General features: G+C 50.2%; 4 annotated features.

The window, feature by feature from the left end:
- Positions 6,575-7,282: an enhancer, noted in NCBI's record as "NANOG-H3K27ac-H3K4me1 hESC enhancer chr1:43473322-43474029 (GRCh37/hg19 assembly coordinates)". NCBI's record gives its function as "activates a minimal SCP1, AML or CMV promoter by ChIP-STARR-seq in naive and primed H9 embryonic stem cells {active_cell/tissue: H9 hESC(naive and primed)}" and the evidence as "EXISTENCE:reporter gene assay evidence [ECO:0000049][PMID:30033119]".
- Positions 7,283-7,991: an enhancer, noted in NCBI's record as "OCT4-NANOG-H3K27ac-H3K4me1 hESC enhancer chr1:43474030-43474738 (GRCh37/hg19 assembly coordinates)". NCBI's record gives its function as "activates a minimal SCP1, AML or CMV promoter by ChIP-STARR-seq in naive and primed H9 embryonic stem cells {active_cell/tissue: H9 hESC(naive and primed)}" and the evidence as "EXISTENCE:reporter gene assay evidence [ECO:0000049][PMID:30033119]".
- Positions 7,512-7,806: a silencer, noted in NCBI's record as "tiled region #10275; K562 Repressive non-DNase unmatched - State 8:EnhW". NCBI's record gives its function as "represses a minimal TATA promoter and a strong SV40 promoter by Sharpr-MPRA in K562 cells {active_cell/tissue: K562}" and the evidence as "EXISTENCE:reporter gene assay evidence [ECO:0000049][PMID:27701403]".
- Positions 7,992-8,699: an enhancer, noted in NCBI's record as "OCT4-NANOG-H3K27ac hESC enhancer chr1:43474739-43475446 (GRCh37/hg19 assembly coordinates)". NCBI's record gives its function as "activates a minimal SCP1, AML or CMV promoter by ChIP-STARR-seq in primed H9 embryonic stem cells {active_cell/tissue: H9 hESC(primed)}" and the evidence as "EXISTENCE:reporter gene assay evidence [ECO:0000049][PMID:30033119]".

Consider the following 10,869-nt stretch of genomic DNA (forward strand, 5'->3'; position numbering starts at 1 on the left):
TTTGTGTTCTGCCACCTTGCTAAACTTACTTAGTTCTCACTTATTATTAGTTCTAGTAGCTAAGAAGTCTGTAATTTTGACATGTTAAGAACCTAGTGTGATGGTCCTCAATTCCTGGCTGTGAATACTCTCCTCCTCTTTTCCCGGAATGCATTTTTAGAAACAGAGTACTTATAAGTTCTAGGTCTGTGGTCTTTCCCCTTCAATGCTAAGAACCTTTAGGACCACCTGTAGCAGGAGGGCATGAACTTTTACTTTCACAGCTCGACATTAACACAACAACTTGACTATCATCCACACCTGCTTCAACTCACTAACTCAATCCTTTTGATTTCTCTGCTCAGTCACTGGCTTGAACAGGCTCAGATCTCTGGACCTCTCCATATCATGATTTCTTTGCCTCCATTTTCCTACTATGTTTTCCCAATTCAGGTTCCCAAGGTGAGAATCTAGTTTGGCTCATCCCATCTTTTCCCTCCATGTCATTGATTGTCAGGCAGCCCTTGAGTCAGATTCCTTCTTCTTCCAATTGGCTCCATCCACAGAGGATGTCTTAGTCCATTTAAGCTGCTATAACAAAATGCCATAGACTAAGGGGTTTATAAACAACACAAATTTATATTTCTTACAGTTCTGAAGCCAGGGAAGTCCAAGCTCAAGGCACTGGAAGATGTGGTATCTGGTGAGGGCCCTATTCTTGGTTCATAGATGGTACCTTCTCACTATTCTTACATGGTAGAAGGGGCAAGGCAGCTCTCTGGACCCTTTTTTTTTTAAGGCACTCATCCCATTCACGAAGGCTTTGCCCTCATGACATAATCACCTCTTAATATTATCACCTGGGGGTTAGGATTTCAACATATGAATTTTGGGAAGACACAAACATTCAGACCATAGCAGAGGACAAGGTTTAATGTCCAAATGTACCCACTTGGGCTATGGGGATTTTGGACAGAACCATCTTCCTAGAAAGGAATGTGATGGGGCAGGCCCTATGATGGACACTTCCCATATAGAAGATCACCTGTCTTGCAGATGGTCCCCTCTCTTGCAGGTGGACACCTGTCTTGCAGACCTCCAATCCTAAACCCTCATTCCTCCCAAGCCGTGAGGTTCACTGTTACCTGACACTGCTCTTCATCCAGCCTCTAAGAGAAACTGAAACCCCATTTATAGCACTGCACGTTTTTACTCTTGAGCATTGATTATCTTCTTCCTTCCTCCTAAGCTTCCCACTCCTTCTTCCTCTGCTCATTCACAGTCAGAACTGAAAGGACATGGAAAAATCACACAGTCCAATCTGGGCACGTGGCAGGTGAGAAAAGTATGACCCAGAGAGGTGAAGTGACTTGCCCAAGTTAATGCGTAGGCTAAATGTAAATATAGGCCTCCTGATTTTTACTATTAGTGTTTTCTCCCCACTAGCCAGTAGTTGGCCCCAGTAGGCATGCCTCCCCCCAACTTCCACTGGGGTCTAATGGGGCAGAAAAACTGGTGCTGCAGCCCAATGGAGGCAGACAGGGCCAAGGAGCAGGTGACAGCTATGACCCAGACTAGGTGGCGGGTAGCAGGAATCCCATCCCACCAAGATCAGGCTTCGGGGTTTGGTGGGTGAATGCATGAAGGCCTAGGTCCAGATTTGGCTAGAAGATGAGAGGTGCAGAGGCAGGGGACTGGCTGATTTGGAGCCAGAATCGATAGACCTGTATTACTTTCCTGTGGCTGCTGTAATAAATGATGATGAATTGGGTGAGTTCAAACAACAGAAGTGTATTCTCTCACAGTTCAGGAAGCTAAAAGTCTGAAAGCAGGGTGTCAGCAAGGCTCCACTCCCTCCCCAGACTCTTGGGGAGAATCCATTCCTTATCTGTTCCAGCTTCTGGTGGCTGCAGGTGTTCCTTGGCATGTGACTTTATCACTCTCATCTTAGACTCTGTCTTCACATGGCCTTCTCCTCTATTTGGGTATGTCTTCTCCTCTCTCTGTCTGTCCCTCTCCTCTCTCATAAGAACACCTGTAATGTCATTTAGGACCTACTTGGACAATTCAGGTTAAGCACCTCCTCTTAAGAACCTCAACTTAATCACATCTTTTGCTATATAAGATAATGCTCACAGGTGTCAGGGATTCCTGTGGGTATCTTTTTTTTTTTCTTTTATTTATTTTTGAGACAGGGCCTCACTCTGTCACACGGGCTGGAGTCCAGTGGCACGATCGTAGCTTACTGCAGCCTCGAACTTCTGGGTTCAAGTGATCCTCCTGCCTCAACTTCCTGAGTAGCTAGGACAACAGGCACCATCAGCACACCCAGCTAATAACTAAATTTTTTGTAGAGACAGCATCTCACTATGTTGCCCACTATGTTGTTCAGGCTGGTCTTGACCTCATAGGCTCAAGTGATCCTCCCACCTCAGCCTCCCAAAGTGCTGGGATTACAGGTGTGAGCCACCATGCCCAACATAATGATGTGGATATCTTTTGAGGTACCACTTTTGGCTTCCCCCAAACCTCACCACCCCACACTACTATCCTCCTTATGATGGCTTCTAGACTGTGGTGGAAGGGGCAGCAGCCAGGAATCTTTCCTTATTCCATCCTGGAAGTAGAGGGGAAACTGAAGGTAGGAAGGGAAGAGATGGTCTTCTTACTCTGGACTCAGATGCTTTTGCTTATGTTCTTACTGAGTCGTCTCAACTGGATTATCAGATAGGAATTCATATTCCAATATTATGGAATTATGGGTGAAGAAACTGAGGCTCATAGATGAAATAACTTGCCCAAGAAACTCGCCCAGCTAATGGGTTTCAGAGTCAGGATTCAAAGCCAAGTTGGTGTGACTCTGAAATCCATACTGATTCCACTGTCCTGGGAATGACAGTGGGAAACCTACAGTGAAGATTCCAGCTCTGCCTTGCTGCTGTCACTGCCTCTGCCTTCTACTGTAAGTGCACACTGAGCGTTCACAGCATCTTTAAAACAGCACCCTGTCTTTGGCCCTCAGGAACCCCGGATGCATTCATGGCTGTCAGATCTCTTGGGGAAGGCAGTCACTGGGAGACAGGGTTCCAAGTACTGGCTTACCCTTGTCTGCACTGGCTGAAGCCATGCAGAGAGGAGTGTCTATAGGGAGGCCCCTCTCTCCTGGGAGTTAAGATACTTCAGTTGAGGTCCGTATTAGTCTGTTTTCATGCTGCTATGAAGACATACTCAAGACTGGGTAATTTATAAAGAAAAAACGTGGTCAGGTGCGGCAGCTTAAGCCTGTAATCCCAGCACTTTGGGAGGCCAATGCAGGCGGATCACAAGGTCAGGCGTTCGAGACCAGACTGGCCAACATGGTGAAATCCCGTCTCTACTAAAAATACAAAAATTAGCCGGGCGTGGTGGTGCTCACCTGTAATCCCAGCTACTCAAGACCCTGAGGCAGGAGAATCGCTTGAACCAGGGAGGCAGAGGTTGCAATGAGCAAAGTTCGTGCCACTGCACTCCAGCCTGGGCGACAGAGTGAGACTCCATCTCAAAAAAAAAAAAAGAAAGAAAAGAAGTTTAATTGACTCACAGTTCTGCATGGCTAGGGAGGCCTCAGGAAACTTACAATCACGGCAGAAGGCAAAACAGTCACGTCTTATATGGTCTCTGGCGAGAGATGTGAGTGCCCAGCCAAGGGGGAAGCCCCTTATGAAACCATCATATCTCATGAGAACTAACTCACTATCATGCTATCCTGAGAACAGGATGGGGGAAACCACCCTCATGATTCAATTATCTCTACTTAGTCCCTCCCATGAAACGTGGGGATTATGAGTACTACAATTCAAGATGAGATTTGAGTGGGGACACAGCCAAAGCATATCAAGGTCCAAGCTGGACAACCTCTGTGAGTGATCACTGGCAGTCTGTTTCACATTCTGGGCCTCAATTTCCTCATCTGTCAAATGGGAGAACTCAGTTAATCTGTAAGATTATGTTCAAGTCCTAAACTACTGTGATTTAAAATATTATCATGACACAAGCCCTCGTATTCGCACAGCCTTCTCTGGTTAACAAAATGTTTTCACTCATTGCTTACCATTCCACCAACACTGACTTCCATGGGCATGTGCTGAAGCATATGTTGGGCAATGCTGGGCAGTAGTGGCACAGAGAGATGGAGGCCATCGCCCTTGGGGAGCCACTAGTGCAGGTATAGATGCAGATAAAAAGGGAGAAGTAGGTAAGAGCATGTACAGGTTGAACAAAGAGCCCTGGGTGCTGAGGAGGGAGCTGAGGGGGAGGGGTAGTGCTGCACGTGACCCCAATCCCATCAAGTGGAAAAGGCATCTTTGCCTCCATTTTACCGATAAGGAAACTAAGGGTCAGAGAGAGAAATGACTGCTCAGATGCACATAGCCAAGAAGTGACCAGGCCTGCCTTCATTCTGGTATTTGTCTTTTGTCACAGTTTGCTTACCCTATAGGGGATATTGGGATGGAAGACGGGGGAAGGAATCTGAGCCATACCTGAAGATACGTGCAAGGAGTACTGTTTGGTGGGGAGGTGGACACATCAGCATGCTACTCTGGATTTTCAGGAAGCACAGCTTGACTACCTTGTAAATGTCAGGCCTTGGGCTGGGAGTCGAATCAGAGGGTTTCCTGGCCCAGGGGAGCTGCAGTCTGACCACACTAGGGTCAGAGCAGTGACAAACTGCAAGAAGCCCCAGCCTGGGAGTGCCTAGGGTTTTCTATCCAAATGAATTCATGGACGTGCATTCACTCATCCGCTTATCCATCTAATCTTTCTGAACACTGGTCTGAGCACTGAGCACCTGGGGCTGTAGCCCGTCTGCATCTGTGTTTGTGCCTGTTGCTCAGCGCCCTCGACACCTCCAGGGCAGGGGCCTGGTCTCATTTCTCTTTAGCTGACATAGAGGAGACTGGGCCAGACTATTCGGCGCCTCAGAGCCTCTCTCTGCTGCTCTCAGGGCTCCCTTTCCAGGAATGGGGGCTCTAGGCCAGGCTGCCAGGGTAGGGGAGAGGGCGTGGCCATGTCGGCCCCTATCCCCAGGTCGGCTGATAAGCTCCAAAGCAGTCGGGACTGAGGGCCTTGGAGCACAGCCATCAGCCACCCCGTGCCCCACGGTACTAATGAGGCAGCCACCTCCACGCCCAAACGCTGGGATGGGGGCCTGGCCTCTTAGCTCTCTGCTCCCCCTCTCTATCCTGGGTGGTCTTGCCCATTTGTTAGCTTTGGTGGGGGGATGGAGGATTCCTCTGCAAAGGACTGAGCTGTGGGGTCCCTGGGGGAGGGCAGCTGATTCCAGTAGAGAGGACACTTCCCTCCCAAAGTGTCTTTGTTCCCTAAGAGTCTGACCCAATTCTTTTCTTCCATCTGCCCCTGGATTGCCCTGCACAGAGGACAAAGGACCCCGGCGAAAGGGGTGGGGGAAGAGCAAGAAGGATCTCAAAGGGTCATTCTAGGGTTCACTCTCCAGCACCCCTTGACAGGATCTCTTGCGTGTGGGGAGCACAAGCCGACCTGTGCACGTGTGTGAGGTCAGGCGTGGACAGGTCTGTGGGACCACACGTACGGGCACGCGCACGGGGATAGTGAGTTCCATGGAGGCATCCTGTAGTAGGGAACCCGCGACGGTGACGCCACAGATGGGGTGCGGAGGCTCTGGTGGCCCCCAACCTCCATCAGGCCAGCCCTCCTCGCTTCCTTTGATGTGGACAAGACTGCCTTTTTTTTTTTTTTTTTTTTTTTTTTGAGACGGAGTCTTGCTCTGTTGCCCAGGCTGGAGTGCAGTCGCGAGATCTGGGCTCGCTGCAAGCTCCGCCTCCCGGGTTCACAACATTCTCTAGCCTCAGCCTCCTGAGTAGCTGGGACTACAGGCGCCCGCCACCACGCCCGGCTAATTTTTTGTATTTTTTAGTAGAGACAGGGTTTCACCGTGCTGGCCAGGATGGTCTCAATCTCCTGACCTCGTGATCCGCCCGCCTCGGCCTCCCAAAGTGCTGGGATTACGGGCGTGAGCCACCATGCCCGGCCGACAAGACTGCTTTTTAACCTTGTTGGAAAGAGCCACTTGGAGATCAGCCCGTCTAGGGGGACTCTTCTCGCCTCTTAGAGAAGAAATTACGGGGCGCAGAGCCGTGCACCCGAATATCCATGCATCCGAATTCCAACTCCGCTCAGAAGCCTGGGGCAGACTCCCCGCCCCACCCAGCGAACGAGCATGTGGCCGGGACCTGGGTGAGGATTTCCTCGCCAGCCCTCCTTGGCACAGAGCTGTGCATCTCACGACTCCTGCGCGACCCCGGGCCAGGCCCTATTAGTGTCTGGGCTTCGGGCATCTAGTCTGCAAAACCGACTGTGTCGCTTTTCTCGGGCTGCGGCTCCGCTGGGGAGGCTGCGGCAGGGGAAGGCTCGGCAGAGCGCAGGCCGCGGCCTACTGTGCCCAGCAGCCCCCGCTGCCCTCCCCTTTGGGGCCCCGGCCCCCCGCCAGACAGGTATCGGGCAGCCCCGCCCCGCCGCCGGCACACTGGCAGCTTTGTTACCTGCCCTGGCGCGCCCGGCCTACGAGCGCTACGTGCTGCCGGCCCGCGGCCCCCTCCTTCCCCTCCCCTCCCCGTCCCCGCCCCACATTCCCGGGCCTGGGGCTGCGGCAGCTCCAGGCGGGTCTTTGTGAAGCTGGACTCTGGCACCCCTCTCCTGCGTGGGCTTTTGGGGTCGGGGCCCTAGCGCCCTTCGCCCACTTCATCTCGCCCCTTTCCTTGCTCGGCCACCCTCAAAGAAGCCAGACTTCGCCTTCCCGTCCCCTGCGACCCCCCTGCTTGCAATGGCCGCCTTCCCCACCCTCAGTCGCACCCTAAGGCCCAGTTCAAAGGCTGCTTCTCAGAAGCCTCCGCTGATTCCCAGTTTTAATCACTCTCCCTGGGGCACCCGCTTTGCCCTGATCGCTTGTCTTTGAACCCCTCCAGGTCCTGGGTGGGGCCGGCATACTGCCTGGCCGCCCAGGAAAGTCTTCTGTGGGTGATAGGATGAGTGAAGCTGGAGACCGATAGGGATGGAAACCGAGGTCTCCCAAGTCTAGCGTGGAGTCCCGTCCACCGTCTGGGCTGATGTCTGAGCTTCCCTCTCGGGACTCCGTGTGTGCCCTGAGGCCCTTCATTCGCGTGTCCATGCCCAGCCACACTGCACACCCGGTACCCCTGGCCTCCCAGCCTTTTCCTAGGCTGCCCCTTCTGCCGGATACACTCTCCAGCCACTAGGGCAAAGCCGGCCTCTCCAAGGGCCATCTCTCCTGGAGAAGCCGTGCCTGATCCTTGGGGCTTTGCGGTAATCAGTTCACCTGACTTTTTGTTCCAGAAGCATTACATGTAAGTTACATTTGACCTTCACTGCAGCCCTGCAAACTAGTGATGCGATGTGGCCCGAAAGTGGCTGGCCTGGGATTTGACCTTGGTTCTAGAATGACGTCAGACTTCACAAGACATCAAAGACGGGTTCTTTCTTCCACCGCGTGCTGTGGCCTTTCTCTCCCAGGCCTTCCCCCAAGGACAGATGTTCCTCCCCACCTAGCCCCGTCTCTCCTGCTTTCAAGCTGGAGCAGGGCGGGGTTGGGATTCTTGCTCTAGGGCTAGGCCAGGGGCTGGGTCCCCTGTGGCTTTGGGCCTCCTTGAAGAATTTCGAGGGAGGATGTGCAGGGCGTGGGGAGAGGTGAGGCAGGAATGTGGGGCTCCGGAGGGAAAGCAGTCAAAAGTGGAGAGGGCCTCCGGAGGTGGCTTTCCCAGGGCCCTGGGAAGCAGCGGCCTGTTTGAATGACAAAGGTTCCCTGGAGAGCAAAGGAAAGCTCTAGAGGATGGGAATGTGGGAGGAGGAGGGTCAGAAGGGTGGGGAGGAAGCTGCCCGTGGGCTCCCATCTGCAGCGGCCCTTTCAAGTCCTGCTAAACCCTTAACAATAAGAGGAACTGACCAGTGGACACACGCAAAGGATGATTAACGTAGTTCACTGAAGAAATACAAAAACCTGTGAAAACGCTAGAAATCCCAAAGTACAAATGAAAAAAAAGAGTATGCTTTTTCCTATCTATAGAACTGGTCAAGATAATAGAAGTGAAAACACCAGATGTTGGTGAGGTGTGGGAAAGGGAGTGCTTTTTTCACTGCTAAGGAGGTAAATTGTACCACTTTTCTGCAGGAACATGTCACAGTATGTACAAAAGCCTTTAAAAGAATTAGAATTTGACTTAGCAATTCTGTTTCTGGGGCATATCCTAAAATAAAAGATTATTTATCCCAGTCTTATTTATAACTGGGAAAAACTGGAAATTCTCTAAATGTTCAATGACAGGGAATTGGGTAAGTAGGTTATGCCTCATTCGCAGACTGAAGACTGCAGAAATTAACTGTCATGTTCTTGAAGAATATGAAAGACATGGGAAACACTGAAGATAAGCTGGTAAGTGAAAAGAGGAAGTTGTAAAACAGCATGACTCCAATTTTATACAGTAACTGTATAAATAATATCTACCATGCATGGTGCTGGACTGGGAGCCAATCCCAATCTCCCATTCGAGCATCACAGCAGCCCTGGAAAGAAGATTCTAGTAACTGCATGAAAAAAAAATAGATATATATTGAATACATATATTTTGCATATATAATGTATATATTGAATATATATATTCAAAGAAATATATATGCGAGGAAATGCAACAAAATGTTAACAGCAAGGGGAGAGGGCATGTGTTTTTACTTTTTTCCTTCATTCTTTCTAATCTTTTCCCAATTTTCTTTTTTTTTTTTTTTTGAGACAAGTTTCACTCTCATTGCCCAGTCTGGAGTGCAGTGGCGCCATCGCAGCTCACTGCAGCCTCCGCCTCCCAGGTCCAATTCTCCTGCCTCAGCCTCCCAAGTAGCTGGGATTACAGGTGCCCGCCAACACGCCCAGCTAATTTTGTGTTTTTAGTAGAGGCGGGGTTTCACCATGTTGGTCAGGCTGGTCTCAAACTCCTGATCTCAGGTGATCCACCTGCCTTGGCCTTCCAAAGTGCTGGGACTACAGGGGTGAGCCACCACACCTGGCCCCAATTTTCTTCAATAAAAAATATAATGAAGACATTACCAAATTTGAAATCACAAAAATTATTTGTTCAAAAATATCTTCAGGATCCCCTGTTTTGGGGGTGGGTGGCAGTTTTCCCTTTATTAATTTACTGGGGTTTCCATAACAAAGTACTACAAATTAAGGGGCTTAAACAACAAAAATGTATTATCTCACAGTTCTGGAGGCTGGAAGTCTTACATTAAGGTATTGGCAGGGTTAGTTCCTTCGGAGGGCTGTAAGGGAGAATCCGTTCCATGCCTCTCTGGTATGGAACATGCCAGGTGAATTCTGGTAGCTTCCCATGTTCTTTGTCTTGTTTCTTCTTGTGTCTCTTCCCATCTTTTTTCCTCTATGCTCGTCCATCTCCTTGTCCAAATTTCTGTGCCCCCTAGCCATTTTTTTTGTTTGTTTTTTGTGTATGTTTTTTTTTGAGATGGAGTTTCGCTGTTATTGCCCAGGCTGGAGTGCAGAGGCGCCATCTCGGCTCACTGCAAACTCTGCCTCCTGGGTTCAAGGGATTCTCCTGCCTCAGCCTCCCAAGTAGCTGGGACTACAGGTGCATGCCACCACACCTGGCTAATTTTGTATTTTTAGTAGAGACGGGGTTTCACCATGTTGGTCAGGCTGGTCTCAAACTCCCAACCTCAGGTGATCCGCCAGCCTCGGCCTTCCAAAGTGCAGGGATTACAGGCGTGAGCCACCGCGCTTGGCCCCAAATGTCCCCTTTTTATAAGGATACCAATCATATTGGTTTAGGGTCCACCCTAACGGCTTCATTTTAACTTGATTACCTCTGTAAAGACCCTGTCTCTAAATAAGGTCATATTCTATGGTACAAGGGATTAGGACTTCAACTTATGAATTGAGAGGGGAGGGGCATAAATTTTGCTCCCTCTCAAATGGGTGTGGCAGGGAGGGGAAGTCCTCTGTAGGGATGAGAGTCTATCTTGCACCACAGTGTGACCTTGGGGAGGTTGTTTAGACTTCATAGACTGGGGCTGACATTACTCACCCTCCAGGGTTGTAGTGAATGAGGGTAATTGCTAAAAAGTCCCTTCCCCGGGTTGGTCATCCCTAGGAAGTATCTTATCTGTCCCTTGTTCCTTATCAACATGGACGGCTGGAAGAGCACTGGCCCAAGGACATCACATAGAGCTGGGTTTGAGTTCTAGCCCCGTCTCTAGCTGTGTGGTCCCTGTGAGCCTCTGTTTCCTCATTTGTGAGATGGGAAAAGTATCTATTCCCATTGAGTTGTTGTAGCTAGAAGATAGAGATAAGATGAGGAAAGCCAATGGCAGTAAGAATGCTATAGAAGACCGGAGGCAGTGGGAGGCATCAGCCTGATTAGTCTGAGGTAGCTGGCCTCTCCTTTAGGAAGTTTTCCTTCAGCCCCACAACTTGGATTAGACTCTCCCTGCCATCCTGGGCTCCCACAGTCTCCTCTGCTACCCTCCACACCCCACCCCTCTGTTATGGCACTTGTCACACCCTACCATAGCTGTCTCTCTAGAATTATAGAAGCCTCCCTGAAGGAAGAGACCATCACCTCTGCATGCCCGTTAAAGTAGCAAATATGAATGAAAAAATAGTAAAACCCACTGCTGGCAGTGTTGCAGGTGTTGAGGCTCAGAACGTGATAGCCCAATGTATGGCACTTTGGCATGCTGAGTACTTGAACTCAAAGAGAAGCAAAATATCCAGGCCCTGTGTCTCCCGCTCCTCTTTCTCCCTTGAAGCAAATCAGAGAAAACAGAATTCCTATTCCCCAAAGCACGTCA

Source organism: Homo sapiens, chromosome 1 (genome assembly GCF_000001405.40).
Source record: "Homo sapiens chromosome 1, GRCh38.p14 Primary Assembly".
Classification (NCBI taxonomy): Eukaryota; Metazoa; Chordata; class Mammalia; order Primates; family Hominidae; genus Homo; species Homo sapiens.